General features: G+C 36.6%; 2 protein-coding genes across 5 annotated transcripts in view, besides 3 other annotated features; one reads left to right on the top strand and one right to left on the bottom strand.

The window, feature by feature from the left end:
• CTBS (chitobiase) lies at positions 8–24,837 on the top strand. Its single transcript, NM_004388.3, has 7 exons — positions 8–209; positions 3,728–3,866; positions 4,309–4,517; positions 8,436–8,607; positions 10,616–10,713; positions 11,030–11,191; positions 19,249–24,837. The coding sequence occupies exons 1-7, from the start codon at positions 33–35 to the stop codon at positions 19,447–19,449; spliced, it is 1,158 nt and encodes a 385-aa protein (NP_004379.1). The 5' UTR covers positions 8–32; the 3' UTR covers positions 19,450–24,837.
• Positions 156–445: an enhancer, noted in NCBI's record as "active region_1255". NCBI's record gives its function as "activates an Ori minimal core promoter by ATAC-STARR-seq in GM12878 lymphoblastoid cells {active_cell/tissue: GM12878}" and the evidence as "EXISTENCE:reporter gene assay evidence [ECO:0000049][PMID:35858748]".
• Positions 556–655: an enhancer, noted in NCBI's record as "active region_1254". NCBI's record gives its function as "activates an Ori minimal core promoter by ATAC-STARR-seq in GM12878 lymphoblastoid cells {active_cell/tissue: GM12878}" and the evidence as "EXISTENCE:reporter gene assay evidence [ECO:0000049][PMID:35858748]".
• Positions 1,369–1,418: an enhancer, noted in NCBI's record as "active region_1253". NCBI's record gives its function as "activates an Ori minimal core promoter by ATAC-STARR-seq in GM12878 lymphoblastoid cells {active_cell/tissue: GM12878}" and the evidence as "EXISTENCE:reporter gene assay evidence [ECO:0000049][PMID:35858748]".
• SPATA1 (spermatogenesis associated 1) overlaps positions 7,069–25,375 on the bottom strand; it is a 60,994-nt gene continuing 42,687 nt past the window's right edge. For 2 of the 4 annotated variants that reach the window (NM_001310156.2, XM_011542514.3), the window contains 3 exons: positions 23,918–24,016; positions 21,324–21,413; positions 17,953–18,538 (listed from right to left, as the gene is read on the bottom strand). In NM_001310156.2, the coding sequence (NP_001297085.2) occupies positions 21,324–21,413; positions 23,918–24,016 (189 nt within the window). In that variant the 3' untranslated portion in view covers positions 17,953–18,538. Of the gene's footprint in view, positions 8,588–17,952; positions 18,539–20,851; positions 21,414–23,917; positions 24,017–25,375 lie in introns of those variants that run through there. The other 2 variants (NM_001397487.1, XM_024446289.2) reach the window with 2 other exon arrangements.

Here is a 25,375-nt window from a genome sequence, read left to right as displayed (position 1 = left end):
GGAACCCACTCCGGCCCGCTAGACCTGCTGCTATGTCCCGGCCGCAGCTTCGACGCTGGCGCCTCGTCTCTAGCCCGCCGAGCGGCGTCCCGGGTCTAGCGCTGCTGGCGCTGCTGGCGCTGCTGGCGCTGCGGCTCGCGGCCGGGACCGACTGCCCATGCCCGGAGCCTGAGCTCTGCCGCCCGATTCGCCACCATCCAGATTTCGAGGTCAGCGCCTTCCTCTGCTCCTCTAGGTCTGGGCTTCAGGGCACGAAGAGAAGTTAGGGTAGAACGGAGCCCTAAGGAGAGGTGCCGTGGGCGCCGAAACCAGCTTTGACCACTCGATGAGGGCCTTCCTGTTTACGGATCCTTCAATTTATAGATGAGGAAGCTCGGGCTCAGAGAAGTTGAGTAACTCCTCAGGCCTCACAGCCTGTAAGTGCCTGCGTAGGCAGGCGAGAGTTCAAACCAGATCTGCCTCCTAAGGCAAGCTCCTTTCATTCCCCTGCTGTGCCTCTGCGGAAGCACTCTGGGTGTAAAAAGCAAACAAGGTAGGATAATCCATTTATGTTTCCAAGGAACGAGGATTTCGTTTGAAAGAATCTCAGCACTCCAACAGTACATTAGAATGCAGAGTATTTTGCTTACCTTTAGTTTTCTATACCTGCTAGCCCTTTCCTTTAAAGTACCTCAAAACCACCCATGAAGAGTGGTAAAAAAAATAGCTTTCAGTACATTTTCCTTCTATCTACATAACAATTTGTAAGGCTTCTGGCAACTTTAATCAAACACCTTCTGGAGCAATATTAAAACCACCTGACTGCCCACTTCGATGACTGAAAGCAGGAATTGGATGACATCAGGAAGGTCCAAAGGCTTAATTCAAAGAACGATTCTTTTGTAGAAATAGGCATGATTCCTAGTTCTTAATCTAGTACATTAATCTGAGGCAGAACACTTAGATGCCAGTAAAAAAGTATATATACATGACTTAGGAGAAGAAATAAAAATGGTGAAAGTGTTTATGGAGAACCTGCCTAGTGTGGAAACCTAACATCTTATTAAAAGAAAGACTTCAGACAAAGTAGGATAACCTTTTTTATTTGAGCAAAGAACAACTTATGAATCGGCAGTACTTAAACCAGAAGGGGTTCAGAGAGGTCTGCTTTAGTAGCATGGGCTTTTATAGGCCGAACAGGGAAGCAAAGGAAAATAATTACTTGGTTGGCTATGACTGTTTGCCTTATTTAGCTATGACTTGGTGGAAAATTACTAGTTAGAGGTTAGTTGGCAGTTTCTGATAGGTTAAGCTTAAGTTTCCTTTCACTGTTGACCTTGGGCTGGAGTTTGCTTAAGCAGGAAATCCAAGGCAGTTGGAGCTGTTTCAGCATAATGGCCTCCCAATTAAAATGTTTTATACAATCTGAGGCCCAGCGCGGTGGTAGAGGCAGTGGGGACAGTAGCTGTAAAAGTTCAACCAGACATTTCTTAATTTTCTCAATCTCTTTTTGAGATTGAGAAGCACTTTGTGAGGCCAAGGTGGGTGGATCACTTGAGGTCAGGAATTCGAGAACAGCCTGGCCAACATGGTGAAACCCCGTCTCTACTAAAAATACAAAAATTAGCTGGGCGTGGTGGCGGGCACATGTAATCCGAACTACTTGGGAGGCTGAGGCAGGAGAACCGCTTGAACCTGGGAGGCGGAGCGGGAGGCGGAAGGTTGCAGTTAGCCAAGATCACGCCACTGCACTCCAGCCTGGGCGACAGAGCAAGACTATGTCTCAAAAAAGAGAAAAAAAAAAAACCTGAAAGATTTACTGTAGTACCCAATACTTAGTGGGTTAGGCAATATCTGTGGGCACTTTGAAAACCAACTATTCAAAGAAGCAAAATTATGCTTATTTGTATCTTCATGGTAAATGGTCTTTTTCTCTACTGGCGTTTTCTATGTTTTTCAAACACAAAAACTAGACTACATGGCATTTTCCCCTTATATTTTCAATTAGTTCACCCAGCTTTTTTTTTTTTTAAGGATATCTGTTATATCACAGGCTCTTAGTATTTTTTAAACAAATAGAATCTTAATTATCAGAACTAAAATAGAAGTTTTGATAGAAATATGAGTCAGAAAACAATGGGCCACTTAATTTCACATTATGAATTTTTATTATTTCAGTAGGCAATTGCTTAGCAGAAAAAATGAGTTATGCATAATTAATTCTGAAAAGTTAAAAAAAATTAAAAAAAATTAAGAAATGCCTGGTTTAACTTTTACAGCTGCTATCCCCACTGTCTCTCCCTCATTCATTCCCCTCACAAGGACCCAGTGATCTCTTTTGTAATGCATATCCCCTGAATTAAAACTCTAATTGATTCCCACTGATCCCAAGATAAAATACAACATCTTCAGTGGTCTTGGAAGTCCTACTTAATCTTTCCACTACCGACTTTAAAGGTTTTATCCAGTTCCACATACTTGCAGGATTTCTGTGCTCTACCTACATTGACCTTTTTCAGTTCCAGAATCTCAGAATTCTCCTGAGGTGTAGCGACCTTTGGGCTTTCCCTTCCCTCAGTTGAGAATGCAATCTTTTGTCCATAGGTATATCTCTTCCATCATTCTGCTGATTTCAGCCCACTCCGAAAGTGTGTAGTCCTCAGAAAAGTTTTCGTGCACCATCTGGCTAGCAGGTCCCCTTTATATGCTGGCGTGGCCCCCTGTAACCCCTACAGTCCTTAATACCATTGTAATTAAGTAGTTAACTCCTTACTGGACCTGGTCTCTCTCATTAATCTTTATCTCCTTAGAGCCTAGCAAAATACTCTCCTTGTACCTTATTGGAAATTCAATAAATATTTGCCAAATCAATGAATTAATGCCTTGGAATAAAATAAAAATAATCAGTGAGGCTTCTGTGCTTCTTGAATTAACTGTGGGAAGAAAATATCAGAGAAACACAACATCAGGTGCCTTAGAATTTGACCTAGGTACTATTCTAAGAAGCTAGCTTCACCAAACAAACAAAAAACAGTAAATGTATTTATGGCTCCATCTGCAGTAGCCAGAAACTTGAGTATTATCAGACTTCTCTCCTTTGATTACTCATTCGATTAGTCACAAAGTCCTGTCAATTTTGCCTCCTTAGGATCTTCCAGATCTGTTCACTTAACGCCACTGCTCCACAATTTTAGTTGAGGTCACCATCATCTCTTACTTGGATTCCTCCAACAGTTTCTGTATTCTGCCTCCAGTTTTGGTGTCTCTTTAATCCTTTTCCCACTGCAGCTGAAAATATTTTTCTAAAATGCATACCTTCCCCTTTTAAAAATGCTTTTATTCTCTCCCTTTACCTCAGGATAAACAAGGTAGTACTAACTTCTCAACAGAGCTTATGAGGCCTTTCATGATTTAATCCATGCCTACTACTCTCTGGTCCTTCACTAATGCTCTCTCCCCAAATTCTAGACGTCGGCCATACTAAATATTTAGTTACGCAACCACCATGTTGTCTCTGCCTCCAGGCCTTGGCACTTGCCACTCTTCCTTCCTGGCCCATCCTTCCCCTCTTTCCCAGCCTGGCTAATTACCCCTGCCACCAATTATCTTGGGACCCCTATGTCTTATGCACTTGTACTCTCACTGCCACCATAGTGTTTGGTGTATGGTGATGTTTGATGAACGGTATTTTGGACGGTCAGCATAATATTCTTGGTTTAAATGATGGTGCTCATCTTTGTTCTGGCAGGTCTTTGTGTTTGATGTTGGACAGAAAACTTGGAAATCTTATGATTGGTCACAGATTACAACTGTGGCAACATTTGGAAAATATGACTCAGAACTTATGTGCTACGCTCATTCAAAAGGAGCCAGAGTAGTACTTAAAGGTATGTTGTTTCCAGATCTATGTGTGCAGCAATTGGGAAATTTATCTGTATCACTTGCTATAGTCCCGACTTTCCAAAAAAGTCCTTTTATGTTTATCTGTTTTTGTTAGGATCCTATAATTAATCTTAGATACTGTGTAATTCATTTCACAAACACAGATCTTTTTAAAAGAATTAAACCACTGTATGGTTTTGAGCAAAATGTTAACTGCCAAATTAGCCTTATGACCTTTACTTAATCATAGTCCACAATTTCTGTTTCTAACTTCAGAACAATTTTACTAATGATTTATAATGGTTATTTTGGAGATTCATGAGTAATGGCTTTCTGTTACTTTGGTATATTCTTTCTCCATTGGAAAACTTCAGTTAAGGGCTTAGTCTTCCAAAATAATGAAATGTTTTTGCATACATGTTCAAAAGATATATACTTCTTCCACAGGAGATGTATCCTTAAAGGATATCATTGATCCTGCTTTCAGAGCATCCTGGATAGCTCAAAAACTTAATTTGGCCAAAACACAATATATGGATGGAATTAATATAGATATAGAGCAAGAAGTTAATTGTTTATCACCTGAATATGATGCATTAACTGCTTTAGTCAAAGAAACTACAGACTCTTTCCATCGTGAAATTGAGGGATCACAGGTAAAAACTCATTTATTTTTTGGAAACCTCATATTTTCCATATCAGAATATACTCATGAGGGTATAACTAATATAATCTTTGTTTTATAGTAATGCAATGGGAAAGAGTTTCAGCACTTATTTCCTAAAAAATTTTTCTGGAGCCTTTGGTGTTCTTATTTAAGGAATTTTAAAGCCCTAAATCTATTCTCTATTCACAGCAAAATACAACACTGGGATTACCCCCACTACTTGCCTTGTAGCACAGTTAGAAGTGTTAGGCAATGGGAGAACAAAAATCAAGGGGGGCGCCTAACCAGCTTTTACCAATGCAGGACAGAAACAACCCAGGAGTAGAGGTAGTTCTGGGGAAGTGTATCACTTGCTCTACAGTCTCTGAATTACTTGCACCCAAGGCCCAGTAAAGCTTAAAGGACTAACTACACAGAACTGTGACAGCTATAACAATAGGCAGTGTGCTTCCCCACTGCCATAATGAACATGATTAGAGCAGAAGGTAACAACACAAGCTATCTTGCCAGACAACAGATGGGTAACAGAGGATAATGTGAACCCAGATCAGTGATCCTCAAACTTGGCCACATATCAAGATAACCATAGGTCTTAAGGAAAAGTAAGCATGTGTTTACTTTTCCACACACATGCACACTGTGAACTCACTCCCAGAAATGATTTTTCAAAAGGTTTTGGGTAATCCCAGAGCCCCCAATTTTAAAAAAGTTTCATTGGTGATTATAGTTAAGAAGTAATAGGCTAGACAATGAGTTTTTTTGAAGACGGGGTGCAGCTCCTTGATATCTAACAGAATGCTTAAAAATGTATTCCAGTATAGAGCATTATGAGTATTATAAACCAGTGATTCCTAAACCTGTCTCAGAATTACCTGAGAGTGCTTGTTTAAAATATCCTGAGTGTATTAGTTTGTTCTCACATTGCTATAAAGAAATACCTGAGACTGGGTAATTTATAAAGACAATAGGTTTAATTGGCTCACGGTTCTGCAGGCTATACAGGAAGCATAATGCTGACATCTGCTTGGCTTTTGGGAGGCCTCAGGAAAACTTACAGTCATGGTGGAAGGCAAAGCGGGATCAGCACTTCAAACAGCCAGAGAAGGAGAAAGAGAGAGGGTGGGGAGGTGCCACACACTTTTAAACAATCAGATCTTGTGAGAACTCTATCACGAGAACAGCACTGGAGGGGGAAATCTGCCCCTGTAATCCAGTTACCTCCTACCAGGCCCTACCTCCAACATTGGGGATTACGATTCAACATGAGATTTGGGCGGGGACACAGATCCAAACCATATCACTGAGATTGACTCAGTAGGTCTGGGATAGAGCTTAGAGAACTGTATTTTTGCCAAGTGTCCTAGGTGATTCTGGTAGAGTTGGTCATCATGAATTTGAAAATTACAGGTAAAATAATTTGAGAATTACTGGTAAAATAATAAGCAATATGACGACTGACATTTCTGTGGTTTTATGCAAATAGGGAAGATCTGTCAGTATGGAATTCAACTTGTCAGGAGAGTACAATGTAGATTAAGAACAGCAAATACCTGGCATACAGGCCACAATACCCCTTCTCCTCCTCACACATTTTGGCCTCAGAAACTTTTCCTTCATTCTCTAGATAGTGATTACTAATAGGTTAGAATTGATGTGTGGAATATATGGGAAACAACCTATTTGACAATCCTGATTAAGCTGTAGTGAAAGAGCAGAGAGGAAGAGATTGAGCAAAATCCTTGCAGTAGGAATATCTCTTTCTGTCTCTTGAGAGGTGAGGAGAACAATTTGGGCTACATGTCAAGTTCATGTTAGGTGAATTAGTGGGAGGGACAGTTGCAAAGGTAGGCCAGATTGTGGAAGATCCAGAATGTCAGGCTGAGGACTGTGCATTTTATTCTGTGTGTAATGGGTTATGTGTGTAAAATAGTGTTTGGGGAAACTATTCTGTAGGAGTATGTAAAACTAGATGAGAAAGGAAGATGAGTAAGGACTGCTAACTGAACAATACAGTATCAAGGGATTTAGTTTGGATTTGGATGATGACATAATCCTAAATCAGCAGGTGTACAATAAATACATATTAAATGAATTAATTAATGGAAAGGAAGGGGCAGAACAACTGTGAGATGCCACCCAAAGGGAGACGTGAGGTTAGATTTTGGAAGTAAGGGAAGAAAGAATCAGAAAATGGCCCCAAGGTTTTTAAACTGGTAACCAACAAAAAATGACTAGATAATCTAGAGGGGGGAATGAGTTTTGGGAATAAGATAATAACTTTGGTTTACAGAATTGTGGTCACAGAATTAAAGAGCTACAAATAAATGCCTTGAAGAGTTCTTTCTACACCCTCATTTTTATAGATGGGAAAAATTCAGATGCTTTAATTGACTTAGCAGTGATACAGACCTAACTATAAGATAGCTGACACTAGCACCCAAGTCTTTTGCTTTCTTGTCTAATATAATAATAGTACCATCTCAAAAATATGAGATTAACTGTGAGAGAAAATCCTGGTGAAAACACTCTTACAAAATGGATTGGAAATTTACTTGCTTAGAGGTAGTCATTTATTTTTCTCTATTACTATAATATACCTCTCATTTTGTAATAAGAGGCAGTGATAAAATAGGAACAAATATGTAATAATTTTATTTCATAACTTATTTTGTTGGAAAACTACTGAGCAAAGCTTATAATTATAAAGTGCTAATATTCACGGAATTATAAAGGGAACTTTGAAGAAGTCCTAAAAAGAGTTTTGCTAGAATAAATTGTTCAAAGTATAAAAATGTTACCTAAAGTATCTCAGTTTTTAAAATAATCAGTGTTTATTGAGTGCCTAATTAAGGGGGGAAAACAACCTTTAATGAAGTTTTAGAACATTTGTACATGTATAAAATAAGGCTAATTAATATTTGGTTAAGGCAATAAACATAAAGAGACACATTCTTGTTGAAGGCTGGCTCACTATTCAAAATGAAAGATAAGGCTGGGTGTGGTGGCTCACGCCTGTAAGCACTTTGGGAGGCTGAGATCGGCAGATCAGCTGAGGTCAGGAGTTTGAGACCAGCCTGGGCAACATGGCAAAACCCTGTCTCTACTAAAAATACAAAAAAATTAGCTGGGCGTGGTGGCGCATGCCTGTAATCCCAGCTATGTGGGAGGCTGAGGCAGGAGAATCACTTGAACCCAGGAGGCAGAGGTTGCAGTGAGCTGAGATTGCGCCACTGCACTCCACCCTGGGTGACAGAGCAAGACTCCATCCCCCCCAAAAAAGAAAGATAATACTCAACATTTATTTGAATATTTCCGTAAAATAAGATCATTTAAATGATTTATTCAACATTTTGACTTGATTAATCTATACCTGTAGGCCGTAAGACACCACTATTGTCTTAACTGTAATATTGGGCCAAATCTACCATATAAGGTGATTGTGAATCAGGCTGAAACTCCCAACCCAGTCAGGTTGTGCCAACAGGTGACATATTTAACCTGCACAATATTTTAAAAACTTTTGTATTTGAATTCTTTTAGTGTGCCTTTACTCTCTAGTTGCTCAGGGGCATCACCATACCCTGTTGTCATTATACCTGCTTCTTTTAATCAGCTGAGGTACCAGCCTAGCGTTTGAAGACATTTTGAGTTTGAAGGCCATCTTCTATATAGTGTCTTGCTCCTGGTCATTGTATGTCCAAATATATGTCTGACTCAGTCAAGTGTAAGCAAAAAATATTTCTTAGAATGGTTCAAGTTCTATGTGTGTCAAACCCTACATTCATATACTGTAAGCAGTTCCTTTTCCTTGTGTAGTATAAGGTAAAAAATATATATAATTTTAAAAATCTGACGTAATATGCACACGTGATCATATTACATAAAATAGTAAGATTTTTTTCCACAGGTAACCTTTGATGTAGCTTGGTCTCCAAAGAACATAGACAGAAGATGCTATAATTATACTGGAATCGCAGATGCTTGTGACTTCCTCTTTGTGATGTCTTATGATGAACAAAGTCAGATCTGGTCAGAATGTATTGCAGCAGCCAATGCTCCCTATAATCAGACATTAACTGGTAAGACTCTAAACATGGTCATTTATTAATAATATTAATAATATTCTATAAATTAAAATATTAAGATGTTTTTAGTATTTCTAAGTTATATGTATACGTTTTTCAATTGTAAGGCTTGCTTCAAACATGTAAAAATCACTTAATTGAAAGCTTTAAAGTTTACAAAAAGTTTTAAAGTTTTGATTTTCACTTAATTCTTCCAACAATCTTGTGGTATAGGTATATTTCTAGATGAGATAAAAAGAATTAACTGCTCATGATTGCATAACTATTAAGTATTATATAGTTGGGGCTTAATCAGGTATTCTCATTTCTGGTCTGATATTCTTGTCATGAAATCACATGCTTATCTAGAATTTGACAGGATATTTTTGTTGAAATAACCAGTGTTAAATAATAGCAAAGATAGATATGGTTGGGCACCTTCATTGCATGATTAATAGGATAGGCATTAACTTCTTTTAGTATCTGTGATAAATTAAAAATTATATTCCTATTAGAATTTGAGTACTTTTGACCTGTCATTCATTTGATGTAGGCTTTGCATTATCCTCTTCAAAGTTTGGATTGGTTTGTATTCCATCAGTCAACTAAATAAAAGATTGCTTGTTCTTTTGTTTTTTTTTTTAATTTTTATTTTTTTGAGCAGGGTCTCACTCCATCACCCAGGCTGGAGTGCAGTGGCACGATCAGGGCTCACTGCAGCCTCAACCTCACAAGCTCAGCCTTAGCCTCCTGAGTAGCTGGGACTACGGGTGCATGCCACCATGCCCAGCTAATATTTTCATTTTTTTCTTTTTCTGAGACAGAGTCTTGCTTTGTTGCCCAGGCTGGAGTGCAGTGGCACTATGATAGCCCACTGTAACCTCGACCTCCTGGGCTTAAGTGATCCCCCAACCTCAGCCCCCTGAGTAGCTGGGTATACAGGCATGCACCACCATGCCCAGCTAATTTAAAAAAGATTTTTTTTTTAAGGAGATGGAGTCATACTATGTTGCCCAGGCTGGCCGCAAGTGATCCTCCCACCTCAGCCTCCCAGAGAGCTTCAATTACAGGCATGAGCCATTGTGCCTAGCCACATACCTATTTAAAGTTGAAAAATAACTTATTCTGTTAAAATTACGAAGTAATTATTAATTGAGGGTTCCCAAACTGTGTTTCAGGCAAGACATTATAATTATGTTCTATCAATAAAAGGTTCAAGCCTTGGGAGGCTGAGGTGGGAAGATCACATGAGGCCGAAGTTCAAGCCAGCCTGAGCAACATAGGGATACTTTGTATCATAAATAAATCAACAACCAAACTAAATAAACCAATATGTTTGGGAACTGATACATACCCCACCCCATTTTTGGTTATTTAATAGTACATAATAACATTAAAGGCTCTAAAAAGTAATAAAGTTTTTTAGCTGAACATTCTAGGTAATCTGTGAATATGTCTTGGTGGAAAAACATGTTTTGCAGCATTGGGCAAGAAAAGGACTGATAGTTCCAGGGATTTGTTCATTTTTCTCTTTGTTTCCTCCCACTATAGATGACACATTTCTTATCCCCAGCTTACTTACAGAATATTTGCAAAACATGGAACACTTGTACTTTCTAAGAAACTCTGAGACCATCACTGCTAGAAAGTTAAGATTTATAAAACTTTTTTGAAACTTTAGAATCTAGAGTATCAAGTATATCATATCTTAGAATTAATAGATATAATTAGCATACTTTCCTGAAATGTGTCATTCTTCCTAGAATTAGATTTTGTGAATATTTTATTTCAGTATGATCTTAATTGTTTTGAATGTTTTCTCCTATTCAAAGAGAAATGGTTTAGAAAGCAAGATATAGAATTTATGGTTCTTAAGGGATGTTTTATAACATATTAAACAATATTAGTGTTTTTTATAAATGTACTTGTTTTTACAAACAGATTCTGAACGGTTGCATAGCTTGTATGAACACATTGACATATGAAGAGAAACAAATATGCTTTTTCTCTCCTGCTTGACTAGGATATAATGACTACATCAAGATGAGCATTAATCCTAAGAAACTTGTAATGGGTGTTCCTTGGTATGGTTATGATTATACCTGCCTGAATCTGTCTGAGGTAGGAACAGTCATTTGTTACATAATTTTTATTATCTATTATATTTTTTAGAGTCTCTCTGTTTTCATTAGAAATATATAAACTTTAGAATCTCTGAAATATAGTTTGAGATAAAAATTATTTATTTTTACTTCTATGAAAGCTTATGATTATCATACATTTTCATTTAATAATGAAATTTATTTTAACCTTTTTTCTGTATAGTCAGGTTTTCTATGGTATATGTTTTATTTCTAAATAATTTATATATTTTTGGTTTGGCTTTTAAGAATTGCATAATTGATAATATATAACATGAGCACTTTTGCATTTCTAGGATCATGTTTGTACCATTGCAAAAGTCCCTTTCCGGGGGGCTCCTTGTAGTGACGCTGCAGGACGTCAGGTGCCCTACAAAACGATCATGAAGCAAATAAATAGTTCTATTTCTGGAAACCTATGGGATAAAGATCAGCGGGCTCCTTATTATAACTATAAAGTAAGACTTTTCGTAAGTTATGAGCATTTATTCTATTAGTTTTTGTAATTATTTTCATAATTAGATGTTTGATATCAAGAATTTCTATCAGTTTTCTTTTAGGGCATAACATGCAGACTGCTATTTACATGAGTAAACTTGTCTTTGAATCTGTAATCAGGAACTTTAGTTCCCTGGCGAGCAATTGGAGTTTTGCTAATGGTGAATCTACTCTGCTTGGGCCACTTGTCATTTAGATGATGCCATAAAAATGTGCATATCACAAACAGGATTTCTGTAACAGTTGACAATTATGTTAGGATGACTGTTGATTTTGAATGGGTTTTGGGCCAAAATAAGTTACTATCTCTGAAAGCCTCCATTTCAAAGTGGCCTACAGATTCTGATGAGACTTACATAGGGAGGAATGAGGCTGAGAACAGAAGAGGTGTCATAATCGACTTTACAATGGAAAAACTATCATTTTCAATTTATTTTATAATTAAATTATAAAGCAATGTCAAAACTTACAAAAATATTACATAAAGGAAACCTGAAGAAATACACTAAGTGATTAGCAATTCTGTCAAGTAGTGTTTAATAGGAATTGCTATACCAAAATGGCAAAGAAAAGTTACAGTTTTCATAATTTACCTTTAGCATTATAAAGGCTCTTCCACAGCTCAAAAATCTAAGTACAAATCCTCTTTGAATTTATTTCAGATTATGTTACTTTAAAAGGAGTACTAAAATGATATAAGTGAAGTTCAGCAAGGATTTATATGCTTAATTAATGGTCTGGTACCCATTTATAAAAAAATGACTGCAAACACACTACATGTCATAAATTATAATTGATATACATGTGTATGCCTCCACAGAGAGCTTTAGTGTAGAGCTTTCTAAACTTTGGAACTGAAAGTATATACCTATTAGTGAAACTAGAGTGTATTGTAATCTTATCTTTCCTAAACAGTGTTTATATTAGTCTGTCCTGGGAACTGTTAATATTACACACACAGATGCACATGTGTGCAAAATATACACACGTGTGCCATGGCCAAATATATTTAGAAAAACACTATATACTGTACGCCCCTCTTGGAGATTTGTAACAACAATTATATTAATGGGTTTGAGAAGTGCTGTAATACATAAGGTAGTTTAATTGTTTGACATATAATCTTGTTTCACAGCATTCTTAGAAACATGCAGTTCTTAGAAACTGTTTCATGGATATGGTTTGTTAAAAGTTATGGTAACCAATTACATATACAGGCATACCTTAGAGATATTGCAGAGTCAGTTCTAGACCACCACAATAAAGTAAATATAGCAATAAAGCAAGTGACATGAATTTTTTGTTTCCCTGTGCATATAAAAGTTATGTTTATACTATACTGTAGTCTGTTAAGTGTGTAATAGCATTATGTCTAAAAAAAGTACATACCTTAATTTAAAAATACTTTATTGCTAAAAAAATGATAACGATCATCTGAGCCTTTATCAAGTTATAACCTGCTTGCTGGAAGAGTGTCTTGCCTTGTCATTGATGGCTGCTGACTGATCAGGGTGGTGGTTGCTGAAGGTTGGGGTGGCTATGGCAATTTCTTAAAATAAGACAACAGTGAAGTTTGCCACGTCAATTGACTCTTCCTTTCACGAAAGATTTCTGTGTAAAACGTGATGCTATTTGATTGCATTTTACCCACAGTAGAACTTCTTTCAAAATTGGAGTCAACCCCATCAAACTCTGCTGCTGCTTTATTAATAAGTTTATAGAATATTCTAAATCCTTTGCTGTTATTTGAACAATGTTCACAGCATTTTACCAGGAATAGATTCCATTCTCAAGAAACTACTTTCTTTGCGTATTCATAAGAAGTAGCTCCTCATCTATTCAAATTTTATCACGAGATTGTAGCAATTGAGTCACATATTTAGGATTCACCTCCAATTCTAATTCTCTTGCTGTTTCCACTACCTCTGCAGTTACTTCCTTCACTGAAGTCTTGAACCCCTCAATGTCATCCATGAGGGTTGTAACCCACTTCTTCCAAACTCCTGTTAATGTTGATATTTTGACCTCCTCCCATGCATGAATCATGAATGTTCTTAATGGCATCTAGAATGGTGAATCCTTTCCAAAAAGCTTTCAGTTTACTTTGGCCAGATCCATGAAAGGAGTTACTGTCTTTGGCTGCTACAGCCTTACAAAATCTATTTCTTAATTAATAAGAGTTAAAAGTTGAAATTACTCCTTGTTCCATGGGCTGCAGAATGGATGTTGTGTTAGCAGGCATGAAAATAACATTCATCTTGTGTTCTCCATCAGAGCTCTTGGGTGACCAAGTGCATTGTCAATGAGCAGTAATATTTTGAAAGAAATCTCTTTTTTTTCTTAGTACATCTCAGCAGTGGGCTTAAGATATTCAGTAAACAGATGTGCTGTGAGCCAGGCTTTGTTATTCCATTTATAGATCACAGGCAGAGTCAATTTAGCATAATTCTTAAGTGCCATAGGATTTTTGGAATGGTAAATGAACACTGGCTTCAACTTAAAGTTACCACCCTCATTAGTCCCTAACAAGAGAATCAGCCTGTACTTTGAGCTTTAAAGCCAGGTATTGACTTCTCCTGTCTAGCTAGCAAAGTCTTAAATGGCATCATCTTCTTCCAATATAAGATTTATTTGAAGAAAGGGGTCTCTGCCTTTTAAAATGTGTTTGATCATAATTTTACCCGACATGGGAGGTTTCAGAATGAAAACCCAAAGATACAGGAAAAACTGTCCATTTTTGTGCTTAGGTTCAACGAAGTATGGACAGCTATGTAGAACTGTGATCAGAATAAAGGGCATGAGCTAATGCAAACAGACTGAGTGGGAAAACTCAGCAAGGACTGTCTGTTCAGATTTTTCTTGGCCTCTCTGTGAAGGATTTCTTCTCATGGGTATGGGGTAGGACCTCTCTGGAATGAGGGTCTTAATTTCTTTATGGCCAGCTATTACACAGAAAGGTGGTGGTGGGAAAGGTTAGAGTAACATTTTTAGACTTTATGGCTGGTTTTGGGGAAAAGAGGCTCTAGTTTCTATGACCCATTTTAGGGAAGAGGGATTCTAGTTTCTCTTTCTTTCTTTCTTTCCTTTCTTTCTTTCTTTCTTTCTTTCTTTCTTTCTTTTTTTTTTTTTTTTTGAGACAGAGTCTTGCTCTGTCGCCCAGGCTGTAGTGCAGTGGCGCCCTCTGGGTTCACTGCACCCTCTGCCTCCTGGGTTCAAGCAATTCTACTCCTCAGCTTCCCCCATAGGTGGGATTACAGGTGCCCGCCACTATGCCGGGCTAATTTTTATATTTTTAGTAGAGATGGGGTTTCACTATGTAGGCCAGTCTGGTCTCAAACTCCTGACCTCAAGTGATCCGCCTACCTTGGCCTCCCAAAGGCCTGGGATTACACGCATGGGCCACTGCACCTGGCCAACACATTGTTTAAGCTCTTAGAATTCAGGAAACATTTTGGTGAGCCTTGAAGGCCATTTAATGTCACTTCAGAAAACAATCTAATTATAACTATTTTCTTCCTCTTTTTTATTCATTGCAAAATTCCCATTGTAAGGTTATTAGTCTAATTTCAATATCGTTATTAAGTCTTTTTTTTCTGAGATGGAGTATCGCTCCGTCACCCAGGCTGGAGTGCAGTGGCACAATCTCAGTTCACTGCAACCTCTGCCTCCTAGGTGTAAGTGAGTCTCGTGCCTTAGCCTCCCAAATATCTGGGGTTATAGGGATGCCCTACCATGCCCGGCTAATTTTTTGTATTTTTAGTAGAGATGTGGTTTCACCATGTTGGCCAGGCTGGTTTGAAACTCCTGACTTCAAGTGATCCTCCCATCTCGGCCTTCCAAAGTGTTGGCATTACAGGCGTGAGCTACCGCGCCTAGCCAAATATTGTTATTAAGTCTTATATGGGCAGTTCATGGTGCCCACAAACAATTACAATAGTAGCATCAAAGACCACTGATTGCAGATCATCATAACAGATATAATAATAATAATGAAAAAGTTTGGAATATTTTAAGAATTGCCAAAATGTGACACAGACACAAAATGAGCACTTGCTGTTGGAAAAATGGCACCAGTAGACTTGTTCAATAGAGTTGCCATAAACCTTCAATTTGCAAAAAATTTAATGTCTGCAAAGCACAATAAAGCAAAGTACAATAAAATGAGGTATGCCTGTAATTTAAAAATATGTAACATAGAATCTTAGGACAGTATATACTACCATATACTGTTTCTTTGTAATCCTGACCTTAGTAATCTGTGGCTTGTTTTTTCCTTAATGAATGTGAAAATGCAGGAACACATTCTTCTTTTTTTTTAGACGAGGTTTTGCTCTGTCACCCAGGATGGAGTGCAGTGGCACAATCATGGCTCACTGCAGCCTTGACCTCTTGGGCTCAAGCAATCCTCCTGCCTCAGCCTACCAAGTAGCTAGGACCATAGGCGTGTGCCATCATGCCAGGCTGATTTTTTTACTTTTTGTAGAGACGGGGTCTTTCTATATTGCCCAGGCTGGTCTTGAACTCCTGGCCTCAAGTGATTCTCCCACCTTGGCCTCCCAAAATGCTGGGATTACAGGTGTGAGCCACTGCACTTGGCCTCTTTTTTTTTTTTAATTAAAAAAAAGTGGCCGGGCGCGGTGGCTCACGCCTGTAATCCCAGCACTTTGGGAGGCTGAGGCGGGCGGATCACGAGGTCAGGAGATCGAGACCATCCCGGCTAAAACGGTGAAACCCCGTCTCTACTAAAAATACAAAAAAAATTAGCCGGGCGTAGTGGCGGGCGCCTGTAGTCCCAGCTACTTGGGAGGCTGAGGCAGGAGAATGGCGTGAACCCGGGAGGCGGAGCTTGCAGTGAGCCGAGATCCCGCCACTGCACTCCAGCCTGGGCGACAGAGCGAGACTCCGTCTCAAAAAAAAAAAAAAGTTTAATGGCAGGCAAAAATTATCTGTATTTATGGTGTAGAAGATGATGTTTTGATATATCTATACATTGTGAAATGGCTAAATCAAGTTATTTAACATATGTATTACCTCACATACCATTTTTTAAATGGTAAGAACACTTAAAATCCATTCTCTTAGGAATTTTCAACATAATACATTGTTATTAACTATAGTTACCACGGGATACAGTAGATTTCTTGTATTTATTGTTCCTAATTGAAAATTTGTGTCTTGAAATATCTATTCTTCCCACCCCCAGCCTCTGGTAACCACCTTTTTACTCTGTTTCTATGAAGAAACACATTCTTTAGGTCTCAGAATTCAGGAAACATTTTGGTGCGCATTGAAGGCCATTTAATGCCACTTTAGAAAAAAATCTAGTTATAACTGTTTCCTTCCTCTTTTTTTTTTTTTTGAGATGGAGTCTCACTATGTCGCCCACGCTGGTGTGCAGTGGCGCGATCTTGGCTCACTGCAAGCTCCGCCTCCCGGGTTCACGCCATTCTCCTGCCTTAGCCTCCCAAGTAGCTGGGACTACAGGTGCCCGCCACCAAGCCTGGCTAATTTTTTTGTATTTTTTTAATAGAGACGGGGTTTCACTGTGTTAGCCAGGATGGTCTCGATCTCCTGACCTCATGATCTGCCCATCTCGGCCTCCCAAAGGGCTGGGATTATAGGTGTGAGCCACCGCGCCCAGCCTCCTTCTTTTTTTTTTTTTCTTTTTTTTTTTTTTTTTTTTGAGATGGAGTTTTGTTCTTTTCGCCCAGGCTGGAGTGCAGTGGCACGATCTCGGCTGACTGCGCCCTCCGCCTCCCAGGTTCAAGCAATTCTCCTGCCTCAGCGTCCTGAGTAGCTGGGATTACAGGCATGCATCACCACACCCAGCTAATTTTTGTATTTGTAGTAGAGGCAGGGTTTCACCATGTTGGCCAGGCTGGTCTTGAACTCCTGACCTCAGGTGATTCACCCATCTTGGCCTCCCAAAATGCTGGGATTACAGGCGTAAGCCATCGCGCCTGGCCCCCTCTTTTTTATTAATTGCAAAATTCTGTAGCAACATGAATCAAGTTTCTGTCTTATTTGAAGAGAATCACTCTATTGGGCTGTTTCAGCAATAGCAGCTCATCTTGGACTCAATATTCTGGAAAGCAAATATGCCTTAACCATGCATAAATTAGTCTTACATGTGCTTAGTTTTTGCCCTTTGTTCCTTTACAATTTTGAGACATTTGAATTTCTTAATAATATCAAAAAGGCTCAAAGTACTAGCTAGAATGATGGCAAAATTCAAAGGTATATGTCTTTGGGTTTGCCCCTGAATCTTCAATAATCTGTCATATTTAAGTACAAGTTCTACAAGTTGCCTTTTAATAATGAATCACAACTATTACTAGGGCATGCATGGCTTTGTCTAGTTCTAAAAATGTTAAAGAATGGAATATAAGATACAGACTGAGATATGCTTGATTACAATTAGTCTACCATATTTAAATATGCCGCAGTGTATTCATTTACCAGGTGAATTATTTTCCTTCAAAGTGGTCTTTTTTTTTTTTTTTTTTGAGACGGAGTCTTGCTCTGTCTCCAGGCTGGAGTGCAGTGGCGTGATCTCAGCTTACTGCAACCTCCGTCTCCTGGGTTCAAGCAATTCTCCTGCCTCAGCCTCGAGAGTAGCTGGGACTACAGGCATGCACCACCAAGCCCAGCTAATTTTTTTGTATTTTAGTAAAGATGGGGTTTCACCATGTTGGCTAGGATGGTCTCGATCTCTCGACCTCATGATCTGCCTGCCTCGGCCTCCCAAAGTGCTGGTATTACAGGCCTGAGACACCGTGCCCGGCCCCAAAGTGGTCATCTTAAGAGACTATTCTAATTCCAGGAGTGCTGCTGTAAATATTACTGGCATTAATTCAGAAATGCCTTTAAGGAGTTTCCTAGATGTATATAAAAATAAGTAAATTATTTTTAGTCACAGGTCTTTCTATTTTTTATCTCCTATCTTTTTCACCTTCCTTTGCACTTTGTCCTAGATCTGCTCCTTTCCCTTTTCCTTTGTCTCTTATCCAATAGCTCATGTGCTGCCTGAGAGAGACTGTGTTAGTACTAGATAGAGGTAGTTGATTCTGGGCAGAAGGACTTTTTAGGGTGGAAGGTGAACATAAGACCAGAATCTAATTTATGGCTCATAATCAGGTGTATGTTAAGTCACCAATAAAGTGCAGACCTAACAGACTCTGAGAATGTATCTGTAAGACCTAGAAAAGGATGTACTTTTCTCCTCCATTGCCATTACCTTTTGACTTGGCTGATTCATCATAAACAAAATCTTCTGTAGACCTCCTAGCCAGGCACACTTCTAGCAACTACAGAGAATACAAAAAAGCACATAAGCTGGTTTTAGAGGACCAGAGCATTGATTCCCCTTAACTTTGGTTGCATACCAGCATTATCTAATGAAACATTAAAACACAAAACAAATATATGCCCTAGCATTAACCCTGGAGAATTCTGATTCAATAGGTTTCATGTGGTGTGGGACCCAGGAATCTGTATTTTAAAAGCTCCGCAAGTGATTCAGATGTACGCCTTGGCTAATAATCACTGGCTAAGGGCAAGGAAAGAATCTTAGGACATGAAAAGGAGCTCAAGTAGAATCTATTAGGAGGCTCGTTTCTGTAATCTTTGCCATTGTTAAAAGTGCCATAAGCAATAATACCTAGAAAGTACAGATGTTCCTTGATTTATGATTGTATTGTGTCCTAATAAACCCATAAACATATGATAAGTTGAAAATGAACGAAATACCCTGATAAATCCATCGTAAAGTCTAAAAATTGTAAGTTGAACCATTGTAAGTCAGGGACCATTTGTATCAAATATAGAACCATGGAATTATAGAATAGGAAAGTGTTATGCCCTAAAATTTTTATTTCATTGTATCCTTTTTGAATAATTGGATTTAGGAAACTTTTTTCCCTCTTACTGTACTGTATACTTCTTTTATTTTTCCCTTTCCTGTGGTGCTGAATTGTACTAAATACTTTAAAATCTCCATTTTAATTTATTTATATAGGATCCTGCTGGCCACTTTCATCAAGTATGGTATGATAACCCTCAGAGTATTTCTTTAAAGGCAACATATATACAAAACTATCGCTTACGGGGCATTGGCATGTGGAATGCAAACTGTCTTGACTACTCTGGAGATGCTGTAGCCAAACAGCAAACTGAAGAAATGTGGGAAGTCTTAAAGCCAAAGCTGTTACAGAGATGAACATCTTTTGTCAAACCATTAAGAGTTAGAAAGATGATCTGTATCAACAGATCTAGTTTCTTGCATTTTTATTATGTTGCTATATACTTTTGTTATCCGTATACTAAAAAAAAAGAATAAATAAATGTTTTGATTGTTTGAATTTGAAAAATACACACGAATGTCCTCAGTATCCAGGAACATAAAGGCAAGAAGCAAGTCAACTTACCTATTAAATATTCCTCTATTAGATGTTTCAACACTATAATTTAATTGGGAAAAATTGCTTTCAGAATTTTATTATGCCATATTTCCCTTCATTATAGTAAAATATATGCTCACGAATCAATGCTGATTTTTAAAATATGTATAATCTGAAGTGGAAATTGTTTGCTTAGAGTTTTTAAAAACCTAGTCTTTGAAAAGCAGTTTGTGCTATACTTTTCCCCCAACCCTCCAATAAATCTTAAATTTAAAACCTACAATGTAGTGTCTCCCCTTTAGGTTCATCAAACTGATGAAAATAATTTTTCTGCTTCCTGACTCCATATAGTATTTATGTTCTCTGAGGTACTTGAACTAAATCTTTGGACAGTGAGTGAGAATTAAAAAGAATCCAGAAGATTAAATGTATTCACAAAATAGAAGAATGTAACAGTAATATTTTGAATTGGTAAGTTAGAACTACCTAATATTTTCCAACTACATTATTTTTATGAGGCTCATTTGTAAAATTTTTAATAATAGGAATAACTTGCAGTTGAACTTGATTCTGTTCACTGTCACACTTCTAATTATTCATTTCTTCATTTATGGACATATATAATTTATTTCTTGGCTAGCTTGCTTACATGGTTAAATTTTTCTTTCTACATCTGCAATGTATCTTTTTTATTTTTATTTTTTGTAGAGACAGGGTCTCGCTATGTTGTCCAGATGGGTCTCCAACTCCTGGGCTCAAGCACTCCTCCTGCCTTGGCTTCCTAAAGAGCTGGGATTACAGGCATGAGCTGCATTGTGCTTTTAATGATCTAAAGACACTGATTAGCTTCTCAACTAGTTCTCTTTCTAAAAGATCAATTTTATACAAATAAGTTTTCTAAATGTAATAAAGTCTGTTTTCTTTCTCCAGGGAATTAAGAACAACATTGTGCTGCCCTTATTAGTTCCTAATTACAGATTAAAAATCTGTATCTTTGAACTCTAGATTTACATAAATCCTGGCTTCCCTGCACATTTTGCCCCTGTAAATTGGAATACATGATGATTGAACCATCTGTTATGAGAATATTACATTTCCTATTTACACAATTGTTTGTGACAGAGTAAAAACCATTTTCATAGTATATGTTGGATCACTGTTGTCTTCATATTTCTAAAATAAATGAATTAAAAAATTTAAATTCTTAGATGCTTATCTCTATCATAGCTCAGAATGCAACTTCAATACCCCCATTCTTTTATATTTCCAGATTTCTTTTAATTAAGATATAATGAACAAATTAAGTTAAATGAAGTCTGTATTTTCATGCAAATATATTAGTATTCATTAATATACATTTATTCTTTGCAAATAGATTTTAGTTATATTAGCTCTTAAATTGTTAAATAAATTATTATTGAATTTTATTATTAAATTATTAAAATGAAAATTATAAAATTAGCACTGTAAAATAATATGTAAAGGACTTGGAATGTTAAAAATAACCATTCATCATTTTGCTTTATATTACATCTAATATTTCCTGAAACATTTTGTAATACCCACATGGAAAGTGGAGAAAGAGAAACCTTGTGCTTTTTATAAAACATTGCCAAGGAGAATAATGGTTAAACAAATCTGTTCAAATACATATTTAAATTTTTTTACAAATAAAAGTTTTAAATTAACATACCTAATTGAGATTGTAGAGATGTATTATTTTTTTTTTCTGTGCCAGTTCAGTTTTCAATGTTCGTAAATCTGAAACTGCTTGTTTTCTCATCTATAAAAAGAATTACTTTTCAAAAATGAACTTCATCATACCCTTCTAAAAGTACATCATAGTTGTCATGTAAACAGGGTTTTTGTAACCGCTTTAACTGTCTTCTCTCATTTGGCTTCAGTGCTTTCAACTCCCACTGGATTACTACAGTAAATGTGTAGATTATGAATGCTGTTTAATAAGCATGCTTATCTACTGGTGAGATATGCTATAAGGTAACCTTGTTTATGAGTAGATAGGGACAATACAATTGAACTGTTCTAAAAACTAGAGTGAGAAAGAATTTTATGTTTTGCTTAAACTTCAAAACCTGTTGTTCTCAATGTGTAAAGAAAATAGTGAAAACAACAAGAAAACAAAATACAAAAAAAACCCTTAATTCCTAGCCCTTAGGAACGGAATAGATATTTCAGAAATATAGTGTTTACTCTGTGGCAAGCACTCTTCTAAGTGTATTAGTCTCTTATTTTTTTTTCAAAAATTTTACAGAATCAGATACTAGTATTTATCCCCATTTTACAGTTGAAATGGAGACCTTTAGAGGCTAAGTAACTTGCTCAAGATAAAAAACTAGTAAGTGAAGTGGGTACAGCCAGGATTCAAATTCAAACCACCTGGTACCAGAGCCCTTACTATTCCAAGTGTTGTCTGTGGACAGCAGCATTAGCATCAGTTGGGAGCTTGTTAGGTAGGAAGAATCTCAGGCTGCACCCAGACCTACTGAGTCAGATCCTGCATTTTTAAACAGGATCCTCAGATGATATATTAAACTTTGAGAAGCACTACTTATGCTATACTATCTTGAATAAATATGGTTGCAAGAGACTCAGGCTGGGTTTTTTTTGTCCCTTAGTTCTGAATCTTATAGGTAGTGCTGTTTTGGGGAGATCATTCAGAAATCAATAAAACTTCTTAAATAATGTCTGTTATGTGTCAATCAGGCACTATGGTTAAATACAGGATTTTTTCCCCCCAGCCTATAAGCTGAAAACTTTGTTCTCTTTTTTTCCTCTTATTCCACTTGTCCTTACTGTTTTTGTATGAACAATTCTAATTTGAGTTCAAACCATGAGTGACATTTGTAATGTTAAAATATACAAAGATTACAAGTAATGTGCATGCTTTCCAGAAGAAAACAGCATGAGGGGAGTCATAATCCAAGCCTCTGGGGGCATTTTTATTACTCCTTCCTACCTACCCAATTATTAAGTGTACAAGTTTACATATTGGCTTTATCTCCATATATTGAATAGACAGTTTTCCTTCATTGAACAAATTATTTTTTGAGTGCATATTTAACTGATATTTTGTTAAAAATTATCCTCTGCTCTTTTCCTTTTCTATTTTAAGTTTTAAGCTTCTCAGTGCCAAACCAGGGCTTATTTAGCCTCGAGAATGCTGCTTGTAAAAAGAATCTAGAACTGCACTGTCCAGTATAGTAGAAGCCAGTTGCCATATGTAACTACTAAACTTAAATTAACTAAAATTAAATAAAATTTAAAATTCAGTTCCTCAGTCACACAAACTACATTTCAAGTGCTCAATATCAATAGGTGGCTAGTGGGTACCAATCTGACAGTGCAGGCATAGAACATTTCTATCATCACATAAGTTCTGTTGGACAGTGCTAATTCTATTTTTTTATTTTTAAATTTTATTTATTTTTATTTTTATCTGAAACCGAGGACAGTACTGATTTTCTTTTTTCTTTTTAAAATTTTTTTAAAAAGAGCTAATTCTAGAATGCAGTCATTATTCTGTGTCATAAAGCTGTTTCTGATAAAGAAATGAGAGCATTCATATAATTATCGTTCTCATTTTCCTGCCTTGCTGTGGGTACTTGTATGAAAATGTATAATCTTCTGTTTTCTGTTCAACAAAAAAGCTTTTTAATACATATGTACTTCACAGATAATTTCTATGATGTAATTAGTTGTACACAATTCTCACCAAATAGAGCATGCCCAGAAGCCTCTACTAAGCATCTGCTATACAAAAGGTCCCATGGGAGAAACAAAGTTAACTAAGGCATAGTCTCTGCCAGGAAGGAAACTTAACATCTAGTAGAAGACACATTATTCATATTTAAATAATAGAATACATATGAAAATAACCAGAAAAAATGAAACGATTACCCATAAAAAATTAAATGTCAGTTCAGAGGAGAGCTCAGTGGTTTATCAGACTTAATAATTCTAATACAGGAAAACTACTTAAAATTTTTTTTGAGAATATATTGACTCACAGGTTCCTTTTCCTTTAATTCTTCCTAGTAAAATTTTACTAAATTTTACTTTGGCTTTATTATATCATGTATCTTTTCACAGGTTTAGTTTTTCTTCCTGCATTTTTTTTTTCACCTATGCTCTTTACTGTTAAGGTAACAATTTTAATACAGTCAATCCTGGCTACCCTTATATTATTGACACCCAAAGTTAAAACACCAAAATATTTTATTTCAAGATAAATGTTATAATAATCTGATTAGGAAAAATGTAAATTACCTTAACTTCTACTATGAGTTTCATTTTGTCAGTATCTAGTTTTCTCTTAAGCTGGTCAATTGCATGCTGTACCTCAGTGATCTGGATTATTAGGTAATTCTGTGTGGATAGATAGATATTTATTTAGTATAACATATAAACATTTTTATTTTTAACTGCCTTGTGAACATAAACTATGAAATGATAAAGATCAAAAGAGTAAATCATGAAAATAACCTATTCCGTAAAGTAAACTAAATTGCTTTGGAGAAATTACTATTTGTTTCTGTTGATTTCTTGCATTTTAGGGAACACTTTCTCTAAAGTTACCATTAAATTAGCATCGTAAAAACCAACAACTATTACTATGAAAGGAATAATATCTTAGTTATTAGCAAGACTTTAAAATTGTCATAATGCTTTATCAGCTGAATAAGATTAGAATTATTTTAAAATACTTAATAATATGATACTATATTTTATATGCAAAAACTAATTTAATACAAGAAAACCTATTTAAAATAAGAAGACTTTTTGGTTTTTGTCCAGAAAAGTTTATGAGTTATAGTGGTCCTCGCTAAAGAAGTTATTTAAGAGTTTTAAACTGGCTTTGTGAAAAAATTCTTATATTGAACTGATTAAACAGTAAGATAAAGTATAAGCTATGCTAAAAAAAAAAGTACCAACTACTATGGACAAACCATTACTTGAGCCTATTTGGACTTTATATTAAATTTATTTAAAATAATAAACTTTTAATATTTCATCTTGTCTAAAGTTAAATCCTTACTTTTAATCATAGTTAACATATTTTAAAATTACTTTTGGATAAGTGGGATTGATCCAACCCAAATCAAATTGTTAAATGCCCTCTTGAATTTTTTTGTCTGTTATTTAATTATATGGTGGAATTAATAATAAAATAAACTTCATGTCTCTGATTCAAGGCTGTCTCAAAAAAAAGAACTGATCAAAATTTCATAATTTCTTTAAATTCCTGGGTGTTATAAGCCCTCCCGCCACCACCACCAAATAACAGGACTATAGCAGACACTGTTTGTCCCCTGCCCTACTTCATCAGGTATTTGCCTCTTTCCCATAGAGTCAGGAAATGGACCCTGTCCCAGGTACAGAGGTAAATCCTAATTAGTCTGTAAGTCAGTCAGCATATAGCATTCCTTGGCAACTATTTCTCATCCAGGGGTAGGCCTAGTTGATCCCTTACCTAGGATAAAGGGAAAGATTTATATATTCCATGATTCAGAGAGAGGTTTCTCCCTGTTTGGGGATATAAAGCCCTACTTGCCCTTGACCACTCTATTGCTACTATTAGAAGCAGTCTTACAATGAAATTAACACTGAAAATAATAGGAAGAAAATATCAGACCCCTTAAAGGCAACATTAAGCTGCTGACTGTATCTCCTCAGCAATGCTCCTCCTATTACATAAGGTCATGAGTTTTTTTATTGTTTTAAGCA

The sequence above is a fragment of the Homo sapiens genome, chromosome 1, assembly GCF_000001405.40.
Source record: "Homo sapiens chromosome 1, GRCh38.p14 Primary Assembly".
NCBI lineage: Eukaryota > Metazoa > Chordata > Mammalia > Primates > Hominidae > Homo > Homo sapiens.
The sequence above is the reverse complement of the archived record's forward strand: the minus strand, read 5'-3'. Positions and strand labels throughout refer to the sequence as shown.

Excerpts from the sequence above, each read along its gene's own strand:
- CTBS (NM_004388.3), top strand. The coding sequence starts at position 33 with ATGTCCCGGCCGCAGCTTCGACGCTGGCGCCTCGTCTCTAGCCCGCCG. Across the intron at positions 3,867-4,308 it reads AGCCAGAGTAGTACTTAAAG|GAGATGTATCCTTAAAGGAT; the intron begins GTATGTTGTTTC and ends CTTCTTCCACAG. Across the intron at positions 10,714-11,029 it reads CCTGCCTGAATCTGTCTGAG|GATCATGTTTGTACCATTGC; the intron begins GTAGGAACAGTC and ends TTGCATTTCTAG.